At 38.9% G+C, this 23,312-nt stretch overlaps 1 protein-coding gene across 16 annotated transcripts in view, besides 1 other annotated feature; it reads right to left on the bottom strand.

Annotated features, from left to right (window-relative positions):
• The window catches only part of PLA2G5 (phospholipase A2 group V), a 63,504-nt gene extending 55,297 nt beyond the window's left edge, over nt 1–8,207 (bottom strand). For all 16 annotated transcript variants that reach the window (XM_047422608.1, XM_047422616.1, XM_047422645.1 and 13 more), the window contains exon 1: nt 7,906–8,207. The gene's annotated coding sequence lies outside the window, so the exon portion shown is untranslated. The remainder of the gene's footprint in view (nt 1–7,905) is intronic.
• Nucleotides 17,117–17,286: an enhancer, noted in NCBI's record as "experimental_1580 CRE fragment used in MPRA reporter constructs". NCBI's record gives its function as "activates a minimal promoter by MPRAs in K562 erythroleukemia cells, with activity observed for the non-introgressed 1:20345907 variant allele {active_cell/tissue: K562}" and the evidence as "EXISTENCE:reporter gene assay evidence [ECO:0000049][PMID:34662402]".

Here is a 23,312-nt window from a genome sequence, read left to right as displayed (position 1 = left end):
AAGCATAAATAAAAAAACAATTGCAACTTCAGGAAATAAAAGACACACTTACAGAAATGCAAAATACACTTGAAAGTTTCAACAATAGAAGAAAGCAATAGAAGAAATATTTTCAGAGCTTGAAAACAAGGCTTTCTAATTAACCCAATCTGACAAAGAGAAAAGAAAAAAGAATTTTTAAAAAATGAACAAAGCCTCCAAAAAGTTTGAAATTATGTTAAATGACCAAACCTAAGAATGAATAATTGGTGTTCCCAAAGAAGAAATCTAAAAGTTTGGAAAACTTATTTGAGGAAACAATTGAGGAAAATTTTTCTGGCCTTGCTAGAGATCTAGACTTCCACATACAAAAAGCTCAAAGAACACCCAGGAAATTCATCACAAAAAGATCATCACCTAGACATATAATTATCAGGTTATCTAAAATCAAGACAAAGGAAATAATCTTAAGAGCTGTGAAGCAAAGGTATCAGGTAACCTATAAAGGAAAACCTATCAGATTAACAGCAGATTTCTCAGCAGAAACCCTACAAGCTAGAAGGGATTGGGGTTGTATCTTTAGTCTCTTTAAACAAAACAATTATCAACCAAGAATCTCGTATCTAGCAAAACTAAGCTTCAGAAATGAAAGAAAGATAAAGTCCTTTTCAGACAAACAAATGCTGAGAGAATTTGCCATTACCAAGCCAGCACTACAAGAACTACTAAAGAGGAGTTCTAAATCTTCAAACAAAACCTTGAAATACACCAAAATAGAACCTTCTTAAAGCATAAATCCCACAGGACCTATAAAACAGTAACACAATGAAATAAAAAAACAAAATAAAAACAAGGTGTTCAGGCAACATCTAGCACAACAAACTGAATAATACCTCACATTTCAATACTCACATTGAATGTTTAAATGACCTATATGCTCTACTTAAAAGATACAGAATGGTGGAATAGATAAGAATTCACCAATCAAGTATCTGCTGTCTTCAAGAAACTCATCTATCACATAAGGACTCACTTAAACTTAAGGTATAGGGGTGGAAAAAGATATTCCATGAAGATGGACACCAAAAGCAAGCAGGAATAGCTATTCTTATATCAGATTGTTAGCCCAAACTGCACCATTTTGTAAGATGCCCACTATTTTGCAGACCTTCGTCAAAGTGAAACATTCCAAAGAGGTTCAGGCTGTGAGAAATAGCCTGTCTCTTATATTCTGCTGGGAGAAAATGCAAGGAACACCACATTCTGCCGGAAAAGGGCCAAAACTCTCATCCTGGGAACACGTTATCAACATTTTCCCAGGCAGCAGGCCATGCCCCGCAACTCCCCTCCCACCCAGGCCTATCAATTGCCCCAGCCTGTAAGTAGTGGTGGGAACTTGGATTAAGTTGGTCTCCCATCTCTATAGGTCTTATGCTGGACATAAAGCCTGGATTTGCTGTTAAGCTGCCCTCTCTCCCTCTCTTTCTGTACCTTTCTTTAACCCTTGCCTTCGCTTCAAAATCTAACATTTTGGGTGCCAAAACCTGGAATGGGGATTGGGTTCTAAATGGGTAAGTCTTCTCTTACAATCTGGAAAGCAGCAAGCAGAAAAAACTAGAACCAGACCTGCTTCCAGATCCTGAGTGGACTCCCTGTTCCCAGCCCCCTTCCCTCATTCTCATCACATCCAACACCTGTCTCCAATTAGTGGGTGACTCTCCTTTTTCCTCCTTTCCAGATCCCTATTTCTTCCAATTCACCAGAAAATCCCAGCGCTGGGTGAGAGGTCTTCCCAGTCACCAGGTGACCATGGCCTGCCTTCTTAGGGGATGCACTCAGAATGTTTGCTGCTCCAGCCTTTCCTCACTATCTACCTTGTTACTTTCTGTTGATCCTGAAGTTTGGAACGTTTCTAGACTCACAATAGCCAAACATCACATCCCAGTCAAAATAACTCTCCAAAACCCCTCCATTTCCCTTCATCAGTCTCAATATCCCCTTAACCCAGCCAGCCTCAGGGGCCTCAAACCTACTATCTGTAAACTTTTACAAGCTCAAGTTCTCAAGCCTGTCAATTCTCCCCACAACACTCCTATCCTGGCTGTCAAAAAAACCAGATGGGTCTTACTTCTTGGTCCAAGATCTTTGAGTTAACAACCAGGCAGTGGTTCCAATCCATCCAGTGGTCCCCAACCCACATACTCTAGTCTCCCATATTCCCCTATCTACCACACACTTTTCTGTATTGGATCCAAAGAATGCCTTTTTTACTATTCCCTTGGATCTGGCTTCCCAAAGTCTTTCTACTTTCACTTGGTCAGATCCTGATACTCACACATCCACCCAACTAATATGGACTTCCACAGGGGTTCCAGAATAGCCCCCTCCTATTCGAACAGGCCTTCACCAAGGACCTAGCTGAACTTCCCCTTGCTCCTAACACCCTCCTCCAATACATCAATAACCTCCTTCTCTGTAGCCCCTCCTTTAACCTGTCCATCCAACACACCACTCAGCTTTTAAAATTCCTCTATAGTTGAGGATATCAGGTCTCACCCACAAAGGCTCAGGTAGCCCAAACCCAGGTCACTTACCTTGGGATTGTTCTAACCCCTAATTCTTTGGCCGTCCCAAATCAACCAAAGGAGCTAATAAGGGACATGTCCCTTCCCTTCATAAAGAAGGGCTTCCTCTCCTTCTTGGGCCTTGTGGGATACTTCCGACTGTGAATTCCCGACTTTAGCTTGCTGGCCAAGCTCCTCTACATGAATTCACAGCCGGAAGTATCTCATAAGGCCCATCCTAGAACCCCTGAACTCAGCTTGCCCCATCAACTACCACTTTAAAAACTTTAAAAAAAAAATGCCCTTTTAATGACCCCAGCACTGGGACTGCCCAACCCCACCAAGCCCTTTACTCTGTATGTACATTCTAACCAAGGCCTTGCTCTTGGACTACTCTGCCAAACATACAGCAACACCCCACAAACTATTGCATACCTCTCAAAACAACTGGACTCTGTCATCCAAGGCTGGCAACTCTGCCTAAAAATATTGGGTGTGGCCACATTGCTGGCCCCAGAGGCACAGAAACTCACTCTCTAACCAACACATTACAATTGCATCTTCCCATAACCTACAGGACCTCATAAGCCATCAATCCCTTCTATCCCTCCTGTCATCTTGCTTATAGCAGGTATATGTCTTATTCATAGGTAACCCTCTAGTCACCCTCCAGAGATTAAAGCTCTTAACCTGGCCACCCTCCTCCCTGTAAACACATGAGCTCTCTCACTCCTGCCTGGACCTCTTAGACTCCCTCTCCTCCCACTTCCAACACATTTTGCAAGCCCTTTTGCAGGGAACACCTACGTGGTTCATTAACGGAAGCTCTTTTAGGGAGCCATGTCCAGCAGCTGGCTATGTCATCATTGCCAAAAACAAACTCCTAGAATCCAATGCTCTCCAGCCCCATACTACCTCTCAACAGGCAGAACTACCTGTCAACAAGAGGAGCTAGTTGCCCATCCTAGCAAAAGGAAAAAGGAAAGGGTTAACCAATTTACACCAATTCCAAATATGCATACCATATCCTACATTCTCAGGTCTTAATCTGGCAGAAAAGGGGTTTTCTAACTACAAAAGGAATCCCCATAGGAAATGGCAAACTCATACACAAACTGCTGGAGGTGGCTGAACCACCACTAAAGGCCACCATTATCTATTGCAAGGAACACCAAAAGGCTACAAATGCCAAAACCAATGAAAACTTCTTAGCAAATTCAGCAGCCTGGCAGGCACCCCTTAAAACCCCATCATTACTGCCCATTTTTCCCAACATACATCCTGTATATACCCAGGAAGAACAAACCTCACTCATCCAGGCTGATGCCATTCAGGAAGGAGGATGGTTTTACCTCAGTAATAAAATTGTCTTGCCCAAGTTCCAGGACCTTCTGTACTTTCATATGTACACAACCATTTTCATACTGGTTACCGCCCCCTATGCCAACTCTTATACACATTCTCCTGCCATGACTGCCAATCTCAAAGATATTACTAAGGCATGTTCCCTTTGCACTCAAACTTCCCCTCAGGGAGCTATCAAACCACCTCCTTTCCCCACACACCAGGCCTGAAGACACCTGCCAGGGCAAGACTGACTGGCAAATCAACTTCACTCACATGACCCCCTGTAAAACAAATCCAGTACCTTCTGACAATAATAGATACATTCTCTGGATGGACAGAAACTTTTCCTACCACCATCAAAAAAAAAAAAACCACACACACACTGTCACTTCTATTCTCTGTATTACCCGCATTATCCTCCCATTTGGACTCCCCTCTTCTATCCAGTCAGACAACAGGCGAGCATTTGTTTCACAGGTTAACCAATAGCTAGCGAAGACTCTAAACATTAAATGGGCATTCCATATTCCTTATCACCACCAATCTTCAGGTAAAATTAAGCAGGCCATTGCCCTTTTAAAACAACAAGTAACCAAACAGTCCCTAGAGGTTAAGATGGCCTGAACTTCACTTCTCCCATTGGCCCTCATGGGTTTATGAGCCATGCCCTAAAATCCCCTCAGCCTAAGCCTATTTAAACTCATGTACAATGCCCCTTTATCCTCCAGAATCTCCCTGTTTCTCCTCCCCCTTCTATACCGGGTAGTTGGCCTGCATGACACCTCACTCAACATCTAATAAGACAGTACACAAACACTTACTTGCCCCAGCCTAAAGGTCCATCATCAAAACACACCTCCCTGTCCCTACAACAAGTGGACTGGGTCTGGATCACAGACTTCTCCTCCTCCCTTCTCCAATCTAAGTGGATGGGTGCTCACCAGGTTATTCTAATTACTCCCACATCGGGAAAGCTAACATCCTTTCTACACGGGATACACCATTCCAAACTAAAAAGAGCACCAAATTTACATCCAGAAATTCCCTCCCCACACCCCCCACCCCAAAATTCTTCCTTTCTTACAGGACTAACCTAGCGGCACTTAACAAAAATTCCAGAAGTTGCCAATCCAGGAGGCCCTGGTCCATAACACTCTCTTCCTCCAATTTCAAATCTTTTATCTGGTACATTGTTTCAGATCTTTCCTGTTATTCCTTCCCCACATCCCTGGATAGACCACTCCTATTTCCTACACTAATCCAGGAGCTATGGCTGCAGGGTATCTTCCAAAATTTCTCTCCCACTCAAATCTCCTTTTGTCTTCTTTGTGAGATACTCTAAGTCTCCACCCCCAGCCTCTGGCAGTAGGGCCCCCTTTGTCAACTTCATACATTACCTCTTAAATCAGTCACGATCCCCTCTTTTTTCCAACTGTTAGATTTGTTTGTCCACACAAATCCAGCTGTTCACAGCCCTTCCTGTTAATCTAACCACACGAACCCGGTCCAAAATAAACCTACATCTCACCTAGTCGGCCAATCCATTCTCTCGACTGCAACCTATATCCTTCAGCCCTATCAGAACCACAATGGCTATTAATTACAAAAACCCATTTCTCTCTCTCCCTCTCTCTGTCTCTCCAAAACCAAACAGCCTTCATCTCCTCCCTGACCAACAAGCCTTCACAGGGGATACCCTTACTAACAACTGTCAGGGAAAGAAAGAGAGATCAGACTGTTACTGTGTCTATGTAGAAAGAAGACATAAGAAACTCCATTTTGTTTTCTACTAAGAAAAATTATTCTGCCTTGAGATGCTGTTAATCTGTAACTTTAGCCCCAACCCTGTGCTCACAGAAACATGTGCTGTGTTGACTCCAGGTTTAATGGATTTAGGGCTGTGCAGGATGTCCTTTGTTAAAAATGTGTTTGCAGGCAGTATGCTTGGTAAAAGTCATCACCATTCTCTAGTTTCGAGTACCCAGGGACACAGTGCACTGCAGAAGGCCGCAGGGACCTCTGCCCAAGAAAGCCTGGGTATTGTCCAAGGATTCTCCCCACTGAGACAGCCTGAGCTATGGCCTCATGGGAAGGGAAAGACCTGACCATCCCCCAGCCCGGCACCCATAAAGGGCCTGTGCTGAGGAGGATTAGTGAAAGAGGAAGGCCTCTTTGCAATTGAGATAAGAGGAAGGCATCTGTCTCCTGCTCATCCCTGGGAATGGAATGTCTCGGTGTAAAACTCGATCATACATTATATTTACTGAGATAGGAGAAAACCGCCTTATGGCTGGAGGTGAGACATGCTGGTGGCAATACTGCTCTTTACCGCACTGAGATGCTTGTGTAAAGTCAAACATAAATCTGGCCTACTCTCACATCAAGGCACAGCTCCTTTCCTTAACCTTATTTATGACACAGAGACCTTTGCTCACATGTTTCCCTGCTGACCCTCTCTCCACCATTACCCTATAGTCCTGCCACATCCCCCTCACCGAGATAGTAGAGATAGTGATCAATAAATACTGAGGGAACTCAGAGACCAGTGCCAGCGCTGGTCCTTCGTATGCTAAGCGCTGGTCCCCTGGGTCCACTCTTCTCTCTCTATACTTTTTCTCTGTGTCTTATTTCTTTTCTCAGTCTCTCATCCCACCTGACGAGAAATAGCCACAAGTGTGGAGGGGCTGGCCCCCTTCAACAACTATTCAACTTGGAAAAACAAAAAGTTGGAACAAAAACTTTATCCAGGATTCAACCCCCACCTTCTCATGGCTTGCCACCATAACCTACAACTTTTGTCTGCCCACCCCTATTGTTTTCTTTCTGTGTAGCACAAACTCTTATCTTTGCCTGCAGGCAAGTTGGTCAGGAACATACACACTGGTGTTTCAATCTCCAGACATTAACATTTTGCCTAACAACCAAACTATTCAGGTTCCTTTCCTAATCTCTATTTCCTCCTCCTCCGCACACACCAGACTAACTATACACATCATCCCCTGTTCGCAGGACTGATACGTAAGTGCTGGGAAGGGAAGAGTGTGGTCCCTTTAAATGATATGGAAGGGGAGAAGGGACGTGCTGGGTAGAGGAAGGCATGGTCCCCGGTAGGGCTCCACTCCCATAAAGCTAGGTGAGGACAGGCATTTGCTGCCCAAATGTTGCATTTCCCAAGACCACCCTCGCCTGCCATGCCCCCATCTTGTGCCTATAAAAACCCGGGACGCTAGCAGGCAGACACACAGCGGCTGCACGTCAAGAGGAGCAGATCAGCGGAAGAACACACAGGCAGCTGGACCTTGAGAGGAGCATATCAGCGGAGGAACATATCAGCGGAGGAACATGTCAGCGGAGGAACATGTCAGCGGAGGAACGTATCAGGGGAGGAACACACGGGTGGCTGGACGTTGAGAGGAATGCACCAACAGGCAATAGCATGCTGGCAGGCCACCAAAACAGCAGAACTACATGGAGTTTGGTGGGGGCAGTCAGAGGAGAGCGCAGGGTGCCAAGCGGCCTGAACCAGGGGAAAACCATCTCCCTTCTGGTTTCCACATCTGCTGAGAGCTACTTCCACTCAGTAAAACCTTGCATTCATTTTCCAAGCCCATGTGTGATCCAAGGATCACAGGATACAGAAAGCCCTCTGTCCTTGCAACAAGGTAAAGAGTCTAATTGAGCTGGTTAACACAAGTCGCCTATAAATGCCTAAACTAAAAGAGCACACTAACACACGCCCACTGGGGCCTCAGCTGTAAACACTCATCCCTAGACACTGTCGTGGGGTCAGAGCCCCACAGCCTGCCCATCTGTATGCTCCCCTAGAGGTTTGAGCAGCAGGGCACTGAAGAAGCAGCTGCAACCCCATCGCACACCCTGCAAGGGGTATGAGGGAACCTTTCTTGTTTCAGACTAAACATCCCTGCTGCACTCAGAACCGTGATAGCAGGTTACCTCTTTCTCAGGGCCCTTAATCTTCCTCCTCTTAGCTAACAATTGGCCCATATATACTCACCTTCATAGCCCAGTCAGTCTCCCAAAAGCTGAACTCCCTTGTCCAGGCAGTCATCCAGAAACACATTGATACCGTCGTTCTCCTCCACTAAGTCCAGTATCAGCGCTTCCAGGAAAACAACTCTAAAGTCGAACACCCACTACTTCAAAACCCAAACCCTGGTTACAGTGCCCCTAATTCGACAGGAAACAGCCAGATAATCAACAACGCCCCTCTTCCTTTTATATTAAAGTAGAAGGCAAGAAAGTCCAATCTGCACCATTTTGTAAGTCCCCCGCCATTTCACAGACCGTGCTTAAAGTGAAATATTCCACAGGGATTCAGGCCATGAGAAATAGCCTGCCTCTTATCATATTCTGCTGGGAGAAAGTACAAGGAACACCACGTTCCACCACAACAAGGGTCAGAAATGCCTCATCCTGGGAACATGTTATCAATATTTTCCCAGACAGCAGGCCATGTCTCCCCAAACCCCTCCTGTCCAAGCCTACAGATGGCCCCAGCCTGTAAGCAGGGGCGGGCACTGACATTAAGCTGGTCTCCTGCCTCTTTAGGTCTTATGCTGGACATAAAGCCTGCACTTAAAACCTAACACAGACAAAACAGGCTTTAAAGCAACAATAGTTTAAAGGAAAAAGAGGGACATTATATAATGATAAAAGGACTAATCCAACAGGAAAATACCACAATCCTAAATACATATCCATCTGACACTGGAGCTCACAAATTTATGAAACAATTACTACTAGACCTAAGAAATGAGATACACAGCAACACAATAATAGTGGGGGACTTCAGTATTCCATTGAAAGCACTAGACAGGTCATCAAGACAGAAAGTCAACAAAGAAACAATGGACTTAAACTATACCCTAGAACAAATGGACCAACAGATATTTACAGAACATTCTACCCAACAGCTGAGGAATATACATTATATTCATCAGCATATGGAACATTCTTCAAGATAGACCATATGATAGGCCACAAAACAAGTCTCAACAAATTTAAGAAAATCAAAATTGTATCAAGTACTGTCAGACCACAGTGGAATAAAATTGGAAATCAATTCCAAAAGAAACCCTCAAAACCATGCAAATATATGAAAATTAAATAATCTGCTCGTGAATGATCAGTGGGTCAACAATGAAATCAAGATGAAAATTTAAAAATTCCTTGAACTGAATGATAGTAACACAATCTATCAAAAACTCAGGGATACAGCAAAAGCAGTGTTAAGAGGAAAGTTCGTAGCATTAAATGCCTACATCAAAAAGTCTAAAGGGGCACAAATAGACCTAAGGTCACATCTCAAGGAAATAGAGAAACAAGAACAAACCAACCCAAACCCAGTGGAAGAAAAGAAATAACAAAGAACAGAGCAGAATTAAATAAAATTGAAACAAAAAATACAAAAGATAAATAAAACAAAAGCTTGTTCTTTGAAAAGATGAACAATATTGATAGACCATTAGCAAGATTCACCAAGAAAAGAAGAGAGAAGATCCAAGTAAGCTCAATTAGAAACAAAATGGGAGATATTATAACCAATACCACAGACATACAAAAGATCATTCAAGGCTACTATGAATACCTTTATGTGCATGAACTAGAAAACTGAGAGGAGACTGAAAAATTTCTGGACATATACAACCTCCTAGATTAAACCAGGAAGAAATAGAAACTCTGAACAAACCAATAACAAGCAGCGAGATAAAAATGGTAATTTTTTCAAAACACAGAAATAAACCCAAATACCTACAGTCAACTGATCTTTGATAAAGCAAACAAAAACATAAAATGGGGAAAGGACACCCTATTCAACAAATGGTGCTGGGATAATTGGCAAGCCACATGTAGGAGAATAAATCTGGATCTTCATCAGTCACCTTATACAAAAATCAACTCAAGATGGATCAAGGACTTACATCTAAGACCTGAAACTATAAAAATTCTAGAAGATAACATTGGAAGAACTCTTCTAGACATTAGCTTAAGCAAGGATTTCATGACCAAGTACCCAAAAGCAAATTCAATAAAAACAAAGATAAATAGATGGGACTTCGTTAAACTAAAGAGCTTTTGCACAGCAAAAGGAGCAGTCAGCAGAGTAAACAGGTAACCCACAAAGTGGGAGAAAATCTTCACAATCTATACATCTGACAAAGGACTAATATCCAGAATCTACAATGAACTCAAACAAATTAGCAAGAAAAAAACAACCCCATCAAAAAGTGGGCTAAGGACATGAATAGACAATTCTCAAAAGAAGATATACAAATGGTCAACAAACATATGAAAAAATGCTCAGCATCACCAATGATCAGAGAAATGCAAATCAAAACCAGAGTGTGATACCACCTTACTCCTGAAAGAATGGCCATAATCCAAAAATCAAAAAATAATAGATGGTGGCATGCATATGGTGAACAGGGAACACTTCTACACTGCTGGTGGAAATGTAAACTAGTACAACCACTATGGAAAACAATGTAAAGATTCTTTAAAGAACTAAAAGTAGAACTACCATTTGATCCAGCAATCCCGCTACTGGATATCTATCCAGAGGAAAAGAAGTCATTATACAAAAAACATACTTGCACACTCATGTTTATAACAGCACAATTCCCAGTTGCAAAAATGTGGAACCAACCCAAATGCCCATCAAACAATGAGTGTATAAAAAAACTGGTATGTATATATATGATGGAATACTACTCAACTATAAAAAGGAATGAGTTATTAGCATTCACAGCAACCTGGATGAGATTGGAGACTATTATTCTAAGTGAAGTAACTCAGGAATGGAAAACCAAATATTTTATGTCCTTACTCATAAGTGGGAGCTAAGCTATAAGGATGCAAATGCATAAGAATGACACAGTGGACTTTGGGGACTCAGGGCAAAGGAGTGAGAAGGGGTGGGGAATAAAAGACTACAAACTGGGTATAGTATATACTACTCAGGTGATGGGTGCACCAAAATCTCACAAATCACCACTAAAGAACTTACTCATGGCCGGGTGTGATGACTCACGCCTGTAATCCCAGCACTTTGAGAGGCTGAGGTGGGCAGATCACAAGGTCAGGGAATCAAGACCATCCTGGCTAACACGGTGAAACCCTGTCTCTACTAAAAATACAAAAAATTAGCCGGGCATGGTGGTGGGCGCCTGTAGTCCCAGCTAATCGGGAGGCTGAGGCAGGAGAATGGCATGAACACAGGAGGTGGAGCTTGCAGTGAGCCGAGATCAAGCCACTGCACTCCAGCCTGGGCGACAGAGTGAGACTCCATCTCAAAAAAAAGAAAAAAAAAAAAAGGAACTTACTCATGTAACCAAACACTACCTGTTACCCAATAACCTGTGGAAATAAAAAATTTTTTAAATAAAATAAAATGCCAACAAAAAAAGGTCCAGGACCAGATAGAGTCACAGCTGAATTCTATCAGACATTGAAATAAGAATTGGTATTTCTCTATCTTTTGGAATTGAAACTATTCCAAATAATGGAGAAAGAGGGAATCCTCCATAAATCATTCTATGCAGCCAGTATCACCCTAATAACAAAACCAGGAAAGGACATAAAAACAACAATAATAAAAACTACAACCAATATCCCTGATGAACATAGATGCAAAAATCCTCAACAAAATACTAGCTAACTGAATCCAACAGCACATCAAAAAGATAATCTACCATGACCAAGTGGATTTCATACCAGTGATGCAGGGATGGTTTAATACACACAAGTCAATAGATGTGACACACCACATAAACAGAATCAAAACCAAAAATCACATGATCATCTCAACAGATGCAGAAAACTCGTTTGACAAAATCAAGAATCATAAAGATTAAAACCTTCAGAAAAATCAGCATAGAAGGGACATACCTCAAGATAATAAAAGCCATCTATGACAAGCCCACAGTCAACATTATACTGAACAAGGAAAAGTTGAAAGCATTTCCCCTGAGAACTGGAACAAGATAAGGATGCCCACTTTCACCACTTCTAGTCAACATAGTTCTGGAAGTACTAGCCAGAGCAATCAGACAAGAGAAAAAGGGCATCCAAATTGGTAAAAAGGAAGTCAAACTGTCACTGTTCACTGATGATATGATTGAACATCTAGAAAATCCTAAAGATCCATCCAAAAAGCTCCTAGATTTGATAAATGAATTCAGTAAAGTTTCAGGATACAAAATCAATGTGCACATATCAGAAGCATTGTTAGACACCAATAGTGACTAAGCTGAGAATCAAGTCAAGAACTCAATCCCTTTTACAATAGCTGTGCACACACACACACACACACATAAAATACTTAAGAATATATCTAACCAAGGAGGTGAAAGACTTCTACAAGCAAAACTACAAAACACTGCTGAAAGTATCATAGATGACACAAACAAATGGAAACACATCCCATGCTCATGGATGGGTAGAATCAATATTGTGAAAAGGACCACACAGCCAAAAGCAATCTACAAATTCAATGCAATTCCCTTCAAAATACCATCATCATTTTTCACAGAACTAGAAAAAACAATCCTCAAATTCATACGGAACCAAAAAAAAAAAAAAAAAAAAAAAGCCCACACAGCCAAAGTAAGACTAAGCAAAAAGAACAAATCTGGAGGCATCACATTACCCAGCTTCAAACTATACTATAAGACTATACTCACCAAAACAGCATGGTACTGGTATAGAAATAAGTACACAGACCAATGGAACAGAATAGACAACACAGAAATAAAGCCAACTTACAGCCAACTGATCCTAGATAAAGCAAACAAAAACGTAAAGTAAGGAAAGGACGCCTTGTCTAACAAATTGTTCTGGGATTACTGGCAAGCCACAAGTAGAAGAATGAAACTGGATCTTCATTTCTCACTTTATACAAAAGTGAACTCAAGGTGGATCAAAAGGCCAGGCATGGTCACTCATGCCTGTAATCCCAGCACTTTGGAAGACCAAGGTGGGCAGATCACTTGAGGTCAAGAGTTCAAGACCAACCAACATGGCAAAACCCCATCTGTACCAAAAAATACAAAAATTACCTGGGCATGGTGGTGCACTCCTGTGGTCCCAGCTACTCAGGAGACTGAGGTGGGAGAATTGCTTGAACGCAGAGGCAGAGGTTGCAGTGAGCCAAGATCACGCCACTTCACACCAGTCTGGGTGACAGAGACCCTGTCTCAAAAAAAAAAAAAAAAAGGATCAAAGACTTAAATCTAAGACATGAACCATTAAAATTCTAGAAGATAACATCAGAAATACCCTTCTAGACATTGGCTTAGGCAAATAATTCATGACCAAGAACCCAAAAGATAATACAACAAAAACAAATATAAATAGATGGGATTTCATTAAACTAAGAAGCTTCTGCACAGCAAAAGAAATAATCAACAGAGTAAACAGACAAGCTACAAAGTGGGAGAAAATCTTCACAAGCTATGCATCTGACAAAGGACTAATATCCAGAATCTACAAGGAACTCAAACAAATCAGCAAGAAAAAAAAATAATCCCATCAAAAAATGAGTTAAGGACATGAATATACAATTCTCAAAAAAGATATGCAAATGGTCAACAAACATATGAAAAAATGCTCAACATCACTATTATCAGGGAAATGCAAATCAAAACCACAGTGCAATACCACCTTACTCCTACAAGAATGGCTGTAATTTAAAATATATATATATGTTGACATAGATGTCGTGAAAAGGGAACAATTTTACACTGCTGGTGGGAATGTAAACTAGTCCAACCATTATGAAAAACAGTATGAATATTCCTTAAAGAACTAAAAGTAGGTCTATTATTTGATCCAGCAATGCCATTACTGGGTATCCACCCAGAGGAAAAGAAGTCTTAATATGAAAAAGACACTTGCACATGTATGTATATAGCAGCACAATTCACAATTGTAAAAGTATGGGACCAACCCAAATGCCAATCAATGAGTAGATAAAGAAAATGTGGTAAATATACATATGTAATATAAAAATATTAAATATAAATATATTATATTTTAATATTATAAATATAAATATATATAAATATATATATACACACACACCATGGAACACTACTCATCTGTAAAAAAGAATGAAATAATGGCATTTGCACAACCTAGATGGTGTTGGAGATCATTATTCTAAGTGAAGTAACTCAGGAATGGAAAACCAAACATCATATGTTCTCATTTATAAGTGAGAGCTAAGCTGTGAGGACACAAAGGCATAAGAATGATATAATGGACTTTGAGGACTCGGGGTGAAGAGTAGCAGGGGGCTTAGGAATAAAAGACTGCTTATTGAGTATAGTGCACACTGCTCGGGTGATGGATACACCAAAATCTCAGAATTCACCACTGAAGAATTTATCCATGTAACCAAACACCACCTGTTCCCCAAAAACCTATTGAAATAAAACAATAAATAAAATAAAATGCTATATGCAATGTAGGTGGCAACTTTTTTTTTTTTTTTTTTTTTGAGACAGAGTCTCGCTCTTTCGCCCAGGCTGGAGTGCAGTGGCACTATCTCGGCTCACTGCAAGCTCCACCTCCCGGGTTCACGCCATTCTCCTGCCTCAGCCTCCCGAGTAGCTGGGACTACAGACGCCCTCCACTGCACCCAGCTAATTTTTTGTATTTTTAGTAGAAACGGGGTTTCACTGTGTTAGCCAGGATGGTCTCGATCTCCTGACCTCGTGATCCGCCCGCCTTGGCCTCCCAAAGTGCTGGGATTAAAGGCATGAGCCACCGTGCCCGGCAGGTGACAACATTTTTGATACACCATCACTAGCAAATAAATTACCATTCAACTTTTGTTTTATTAATACGTACGATATGTACCCTAGTGTTTGTTTAATTTGCATTATTTTTATAATTGACAGTGTTATTTTATGTTGGTAAATTTTATTTTCTTATTATCTTCTGGTTTATTTACTCAGGTCTTAGCATTTATTGCAAATTGCATTAACCTTCTTCCCCTCCCCCCAAGAATTCTGAAGACATTCAAAGCAATAACTTTTATGTGCCAAAAATATCAATCTCTTCTCTATCATATTTGCTTTATTTTTTTCTTTTGTTGATGACGTTTCTTGTGGTGTAGGTATTTAAAATTTTTTCTATCACATCTGTTTATTGTTCTAATTGTTAAAAATCACATATATACTACTTAGGAAGTCTTTCTCCTTCAAACTTTCCAGATGTACTAAACTATCAATTACTTGAGTGTCTATAATTATATTTTCATGGTTGGAGCTTTACATTTAGCTTCTTTATTCATGTAAAGGTATTTTACATGAATAAAGAAAGTTATTCTTTCCCTAATGTTGATAGCAAAACCAACATTATTAAATATTTCTTCTACCTTCAAAAAAATACTAGCAAACTTAATTCAGCAGCACATTACAAAGATCTTTCACTGTTGTCAAGTGACATTTATTCCAGGAATGCAATAATGGTTCAACATATACAAATCAATAAATGTACAACATATCAACAGAACAAAGGACAAAAACCATATGACCATTTCAATAGAAGCAGAAAAACCATTTGATAAAATTCAACATCTCTTCATGATTAAAAAAAAAAACTCCCAACTAGTTAGGTATATAAAAGGAATGTATATCAGCACAATAAAATACATATATTGCAAACCCACAACATACTGAATAGTGAAAAGTTGCCACTTATTGCTTTAAGGTGTGGAAGAAGACAAGAATGCCCATTTTTACAACTTTTATTCAACATAGTACTGGAAGTCCTAGCCAGAGAAACTATGTAAAAAATGAAATAAAAGAATTGGAAAGGAGGAAGTCAAATTTTCCCTGTTTGCAAATGACATAATCTTTTTTTTTTTTTTTTTTTTTTGAGATGGGTCTTGCTGTGTCACCTAGGCTGGAGTGCATTGGCGCTATCTAGGCTCACTGCAACCTCTGCTGCCCAGGTTCAAGCGATTCTCCTGCCTCAGCCTCCTGAGTAGATGGGACTACAGGCACATGCCACCACGCCTGGCTAATTTTTTTTTATTTTTAGTAGAGATGGGGTTTCACCACGTTGGCCAGGATGGTCTCAATCTCCTGACCTCGTGATCCACCTGCCTTGGCCTCCAACAGTGCTGGGATTACAGGGACATAATCTTATATGTAGAAAAACCTAAAAGCCTCACAGAAAAGAGCCTTAGACCTGACAAACAAGTCAGTAAAGTCACAGGTTACAAAATCATATGCAAAAATTAGTATTTTTTCTATATACTAACAACTAACTAGTGGGAAAACATCAAGAAAGCAATTCCATTTATAATGGTTTTAAAAAAAAACCCAGGAGTAAATTTAAACAAGGGATGAAAGATGTCTCCAAGGAAAACTGTAAGACATTGATTAAATAAATTGAAGAGGACACACAAACACACAAAAAAAGACATCTCATGTTCATGGATTGGAAGAATTGATACTGTGAAAATGACCACACTACCAAAAATTATCTACAGATTCAATAAAATGCCTATCAAAATACCAACTGCATTCTTCACAGAAATAGAAAAAAAATACTAAAGATTTTATGGAACCACAAATGACCCTGAATAGTCAAATCAATTCTCAGCTAAAAGAACAAGGCTAGAGGCATCACACCACCAAATGTCAAAATATACTACAAACCTATATTAACCAAAACAGTGTGGTGGCTAGGTACAGTAGTTCATGCCTGTAATTTCAGCACTTTGAAAGGCTGAGATAGGAGGATTTCTTATGGCCAGGAGTTCAAGATCAGCCTGGGCAACAAAGAGAGACACCATCTCTGCCAAAAATAAAAATAAATTTAAAAATAAAACAGGACAGTACTGGCATGAAATCAGACATATAGAGCATTGAAACAGATTAGATAACACAGAAATAAATCCATGTATTTACAGCCTATTCATTTTCAACATAGCCACAAAGACCATTCATGGAGGAAGTGACAGTCTCTCCAATAAAGGGTGCTGGGAAAACTGAATATCCATATGCAGGCAAAAAAAAAAAAAACTAGACCACTATCTCTCACTGTATAAAAAAATCAACTCTAGACTGAGCGTGGTGGCTCACACCTATAATCCTAGCACTTTGGGAGGCCGAGACAGAAAGATCTCTTGAGTCCAGGAGCTTGAGACAAGCCATGGACAACATGGCAAAACTCCACCTTTACAAAAAATACAAAAATTAGCTGGGCATGGTGGTGCATGTCTGTAGTCCCAGCTACCTGGGGGGCTGAGGTGGGAGGATCACTTGAGTCTGGGAGGTCAAGGCTGCAGTGAGCTGAGCTCATGCCACTGTACTACAGCCTGGGCAACAGAGTGAGACTTAGCCAAATAAATAAATAAAGGAATAAATAAACAAACTCTAAATGGATTAAAGATTTAAACATAAGACTCCGAACCATGGAAGTACAAGAAAAAAAACATAATAGGAGGAACAGTTTAGGACACTGATCTGGACAAAGGTATTATGGAGAACACTTCAAAGCACAAGCACAAAAACAAAAATAGACAAATGGTATTACATTAAACTAAAAGCCTTCTGTATAGCAAAGGAAACAAACAGAATGAAGAGACAACCTGAAGAATGGGAGAAAATATTTGAAAACTATTCATCTGACAAGGGATTAATACTAGAATATACAAGGAACTAAAACAACTCAAATAATCCAATTTTAAAATGGGCAAATGACTGAATAGACATCTCTCAAAAGAAGACATGCAGATGCCCAAGTCTGTGAAAAAATGCTCAATATCACTAATCATCAGGGAAATGCAAATCAAAACCACAATGAGATATTATCTCACCCCAGTTAAGTGACTATTACCAAAAAGACAATAATATAACAAATGCTGGTAAGGAAGTAGAGAAAGGGAAACTTATACATTGTTGGTAGGAATGTAAATTAGTACAGCCATTGTGGAAAATAATATGGAAGTTTTTCAAAACACTAAAACTACCAATGGTCTAGCAATCCCACTACTGAGTATACACATCCAAAGGAAAGGAAATCAGTGTAACAAAGAGCTATCTGTGCTCCCATGTTTATTGCAGTACTATTCACAATAGCTAAGATATGAAATCAACCTAAGTGTCTATAAACACATGAATGAAGAAAATGTGGTATATATACATAATGGAATGCTGTTTATCCATTAAAAGAATGAAATTCTATAATTCACAACAATATGGATGAGCTTGGAGGACATTATGTTAAATGAAAAATTCAGGCACAGAAAGGGAAATACTCTATGTTTTCACTAACATATGGAAACTTAAAAAGTTGATCTCACCAACATGGAGAGTAGAATGGTGGTACTAGAGGCAGAAAAGGGAAGGGAAGAGAGGACACTATCAAGGGTTGGCTAATGGATACAAAAGTACAGCCATGTAGGAAGAATAGGTCCCAGTGTTCTATAGCACTATATTGTGACTATAAATAACAACAAATTATTGTATATTTTCAAATAGCTAGAAGAATGGATTTTAAATGTTCTCAATACAAATAAATGATAAATGTTTGTGGTGATGGATATGCTCATTACCCTGGTTTGATCATTACACATATTATATACCTATATCAAAATATCACACTGAGCCCCACAAATAAATACAATTATTATATGTCAATTTAAAAAGTCATAATGAAAGCAAAAAAGCAAACAGAAATTCTGGAACTAAAAAACACAATGAATGAAATGGAAAATGTAATACACAGTATCAACAGTAGACACAAGCAGAAAAAAATCTGTAAACTTGAAGTCAGATTATTTGGAAATGCACCGTTAGAAGAGAAAAAGGAATAAAAAGAAATGAATAAAGTTTATAGGACTTATGGGCAGTATCAAAAAAGCAAATGTTTCAGTTAGAGAAGAGAAACACAAAGAGATACAATGTGTATATCAACAAATAATAGCAGAAAACTTTCCAAATTTTTAAAAAGATATAAATATCCAGGTATAGAAAGGTCAAAAGTCTCCAATCAGATTCAATCCAAACATAACTACATCAAGACATAAATCAAACTGTCAAAAATCAAGGACAAAGAAAAGATCCTGAAAACAGCAAGAGGAAAGAAGCAAATAATATATAACAGAGTTCTAATAAGGCTAGCAGCAAACTTCTCAGCAGAAACCTTACAGGCCAAAAGAGAGTGGGATGATATATTCAAAGTTGCTAAAGGAAAAAAAAATCTGTCAATCAAAAATATAATATCCAGGCTGGGCGTGGTGGTTTACGCCAGTAATCCCAGCACTTTGGGAGACCAAGGCGAGTGGATCACTTGAAGTCAGGAGTTCAAGACCAACCTGGCAAACATGATGAAACCCCATCTCTACTAAAAATACAAAATTTAGCTGTGTGTGGTGGCTCACGCCTGTAATCCCAGCTACTCAGGAGGCTGAGGTGCGAGAATCACTTGAACCCAGGAGGCAGAGGTTGCAGTGAGCCGAGTTCACACCACTGCACTCCATCCTTGGTGAGAATGAGACTCCATTAAAAAAAATCATACCTGGCAAAGCTATTCTTCATAAATGAAAAACAGAAAGGCTTTCCAGATAAATGAAAGCTGAGGGAGTTCATCACCACCTGATTTGTTTTACAGGAAATGCTAAAAGAAGCTCTTTAAGCTGAAAGAAAAGGATGCTAATCAATAACAAGAAAACACATAAGATTCACTGGTAAAGTAAGTACACAGTAAAATTCAAAATACTCTAATACTATACTGGTGGTGTATAAATCATTTATGTCTTTAGTATGAAGGTTAAAAGATAAAACTATTAAAAATAATAATGGCTACAATAATTTCTAAGGGACACACAATATAAAAATTTTTTTAAATTTGTGACACCAAAAATTTTAAATGGTAGAAAGGGCGAATAAAAGTGCAGACCTTATTTTAATGTAGTCAAAGTTAAGTTATCAACTTAAAACGTGTTATAACCATAAAATGCTTTTTGTAAACCTCATGGTAACTACAAAGCAAAAACCTATATGTATGACTCATGAACTACACAGGGGTTAGGGGTACAAACACTCCCACCTCCCCTTGCAGTTGAAAATCCACATATAATTTTGACTCCCCCAAAACTTAACTACTAATAGCCTATTATTGACTGGAAGCCTTACTGATAACATAAACAGTTGATTCACACACATTTTGCATGTTATAAGTATTATGTACCTTATTCTTACAATGAAGGAGTAAGACTTCCAGTCAATAATAGGCTATTAGTAGTTAAGTTTAGGGGGAGTCAAATAATCAAGAGGATATGATTATAAGTATATATGCACTTAACATCAGAACACTGGAATACATAAAGAAAATATTAATAGATCTGAAGGGAGAAATTTAAAAAGATTTAAATCATATCTGGTATCTTCCAACCACAATGGTATGAAAGGAAATCAATAACAATAAATTTTGGAAAATTCACAAATACATGGAAATTAAACAATATTCTCCTGAACAATCAGTGGGTCAATAAATTAAAAGCAAAAATAAAAATAACTTCAGGCAAACAACAATGGAAACACAACACACCAAAACTTACAATATACAGCAAATGCAGTTCTAAGAAGGAAGTTTATAACAATAAATACCTACATAGAAAAATGAAGATCTTAAACAACCTAATATTATAATTCAAGGAACTAGAAAACAAAACAAACTAATCTCAAAGTTAAGAGGAGAAAGAAAATAATAAAGACCAGAGCAGAAATAAGTAAAATAGAAACCAGAAAAACAGTAGAAAAGATCAACAAAACTAAGTTGGTGTTTTGAAGAGATACATCAAATAAACAAACCTTTATCTAGACTAAGAAAAAGAGAAAACTCAAATAAATAAAATCAAATATGAAAAAGGAGACATTACAATTGATAACACAGAAATACAAAAGATCATAAGATACTACTGTGAATAATTAGATGTCCACAAATTGGATCATCTAGAAGTGGATAATTCCTAGACACATACAAACTACCAAGACTGAATCACAAATAAATAGAAAATCTGAACAGACCAATAATGAACAAGGAGATTGAATCAGTAATGAAAAAACATCCAAACAAAGAAAAGTCCTGGACATGATGGCTTTACTGTTGAGTTTCATCAAACACTTAAAAACCTGAAGAAGAGGAAACACTTCCAAATTCATTTTATGAGGCCGTCATTACCACAGTAGCAAAGCCAGACAAAGACACTAAAAGCAAAGGAAATTATATACCAATACCCCTGATGAGCATAGAAGAAAAATCCTCGAAAAATACTACTAAACCAAATTCAGTAGCACATTAAAGAGATTGTTTACCATGATCAAGTGGGATTTACACCAGGGATACAATGATACTTTAACATACACAAATCTATAAATTTGATACACCACATAAACAAAATGAAGGAGAAACCCCATATGATCATCACAGGAAATACAGAAAGAGCATTTGACAAAATTTAGCACCCTTTCATGAAAATACTCTCCACAAATTCGCTATACAGGGAATGTACTTCAGCACAATAAAGGTCATATATGACAAACCCACAGCTAGCATCATACTCAACAGTGAAAAGTTGCAAACTTTCCCCCTAAGATCAGGAACAAGACAAGGTGCTCACTCTTGCCACTGGAAGTTCTAGCCAGAACAATTAGGCAAGAGAAGAAAATAAAAGGTGACCAAATTGGAAAAGAAGTTAAATTGTCTCTGTTTGTAGATAACATAATCTTATATATATAAAACACTCTAAAGACTCCACTAAAAAACCTGTTATAACTAATAAAGGAATTCAGTAAAATTGCAGGATGTAAAATCAACATAAATGTTCTGTGCTTCCAGAGGTTGAAGAATAAATAAATAAATTCAACATACAAAAAGTACCATTTCCATACATTAATAATAAACTACCCTAAATATGAAAATCCAGAAAATAATCCCCTTTTCAAATAGCTATTGCAAAATAAAATACTTGGGAATAAATTTAATGAAAGAAGTGAAAGTCCAGTGCACTAAAAACTATAAAACATTGATGAAAGAAATTGGAGAAGACACAAGTAAATGAAAAAATATCCTATGTTCAAGGACTGAAAGAATTAATATTGTTAAAATGTTCATACTACCCAAAGTGATCTACAGATTCAATGCAATCCCTATGAAAACTCCAGTGGCATTTTTCACAGAAATAAAACAAAAGAGACCCTTGGAAATCACAAGAGACCCCAAATACCCAAGTACTCTTGAGCAAAAAGAACAAAACTGGAGTCATCATACCACCAGACTTTAAAATATACTACAAAGCTATAGTAATCGAAACAGCATGGCATTGGCATAAAAAACAGACACATACATCAACGGAACAGAATGGAGAGCCCAGAAATAAGTCCATGCATTTATGATCAATTGATTTGTGACAAAAGTGCCAAGAACCCTGCTGTGGTTTAAATATTTGTGTCCTCTTCAACATTCATGTTGCAACTTAATCCCCAATGCCATAGTATTAAGAGGTGGGACCTTTAGGGGTTGATTAGGTCATGAGTGTTTCTCCCTCATGAATGGGATTAAGATCCTTATATAAGAGGTTTCAGCATTTAGCCCTTTTTGCCTTTCTGTCCCTTCTGCCATGTGAGGACACAGCATCTGTCCCTTCGAGGACACATCAAAAAGGTGCCATCTTAGAAGCAAAGACCAGGCTTTCACCAAACACTGAACCTGCCAGAGCCTTAATCTTGAACTTCTCAGCCTCTGGAACTCTGCGAAATAAGTTTTTGTTGTTTATAAGTTACCCAGTTTGTGGCATTTTTTTTATAGCAACACAAATGGACTAAGACAGAAATTAGAACTGAGAAGTGACATGTTGCTCTAACAAATACCTGAAAATGTAGAGGTGGCTTTGAAATGGGGTACTGGGTAGAGGCTGGGATAGTTTTTAAGTGTATGCTACAAAAAGCCTGGATTGCTTTAAAGAGAACATTAATAACAATTCTGCTGAAGGCTCCAAAGAAGATAGCTGTAGAGACAGCCGCAGTCTTCTTAGAGATTAGATGGTCATAATCAAAATGCTGGTAGAAATATGAATAGTAAAGAACATTCTGATAAAGTCTTAGATGAAAATCAGGAATGTCTTATTGGAAACTGGAAGAAAAACCATCCTTGTTGTAAGGTGGCAAGGAACTTGGTGGCCTTGTGTCAATGTCTTCATGTTTTGTGGAGGGCAGAATTTGCAAGCAATGAAGGAGGATTTTGGTGGAAGAAATATCTACATGAAGTATTGAAGGAGCAGCATGACTTCTTTTGATTGTTTGTAGCAAAATGTGAGAAGAGAGAAACAAATTAAAGACAGAATTTATAATCAAAAGGCAAGCATAACTTAAAGATTTGGAA

Source organism: Homo sapiens, chromosome 1, assembly GCF_000001405.40.
Source record: "Homo sapiens chromosome 1, GRCh38.p14 Primary Assembly".
Taxonomy (NCBI): Eukaryota; Metazoa; Chordata; class Mammalia; order Primates; family Hominidae; genus Homo; species Homo sapiens.
The sequence above is the reverse complement of the archived record's forward strand: the minus strand, read 5'-3'. Positions and strand labels throughout refer to the sequence as shown.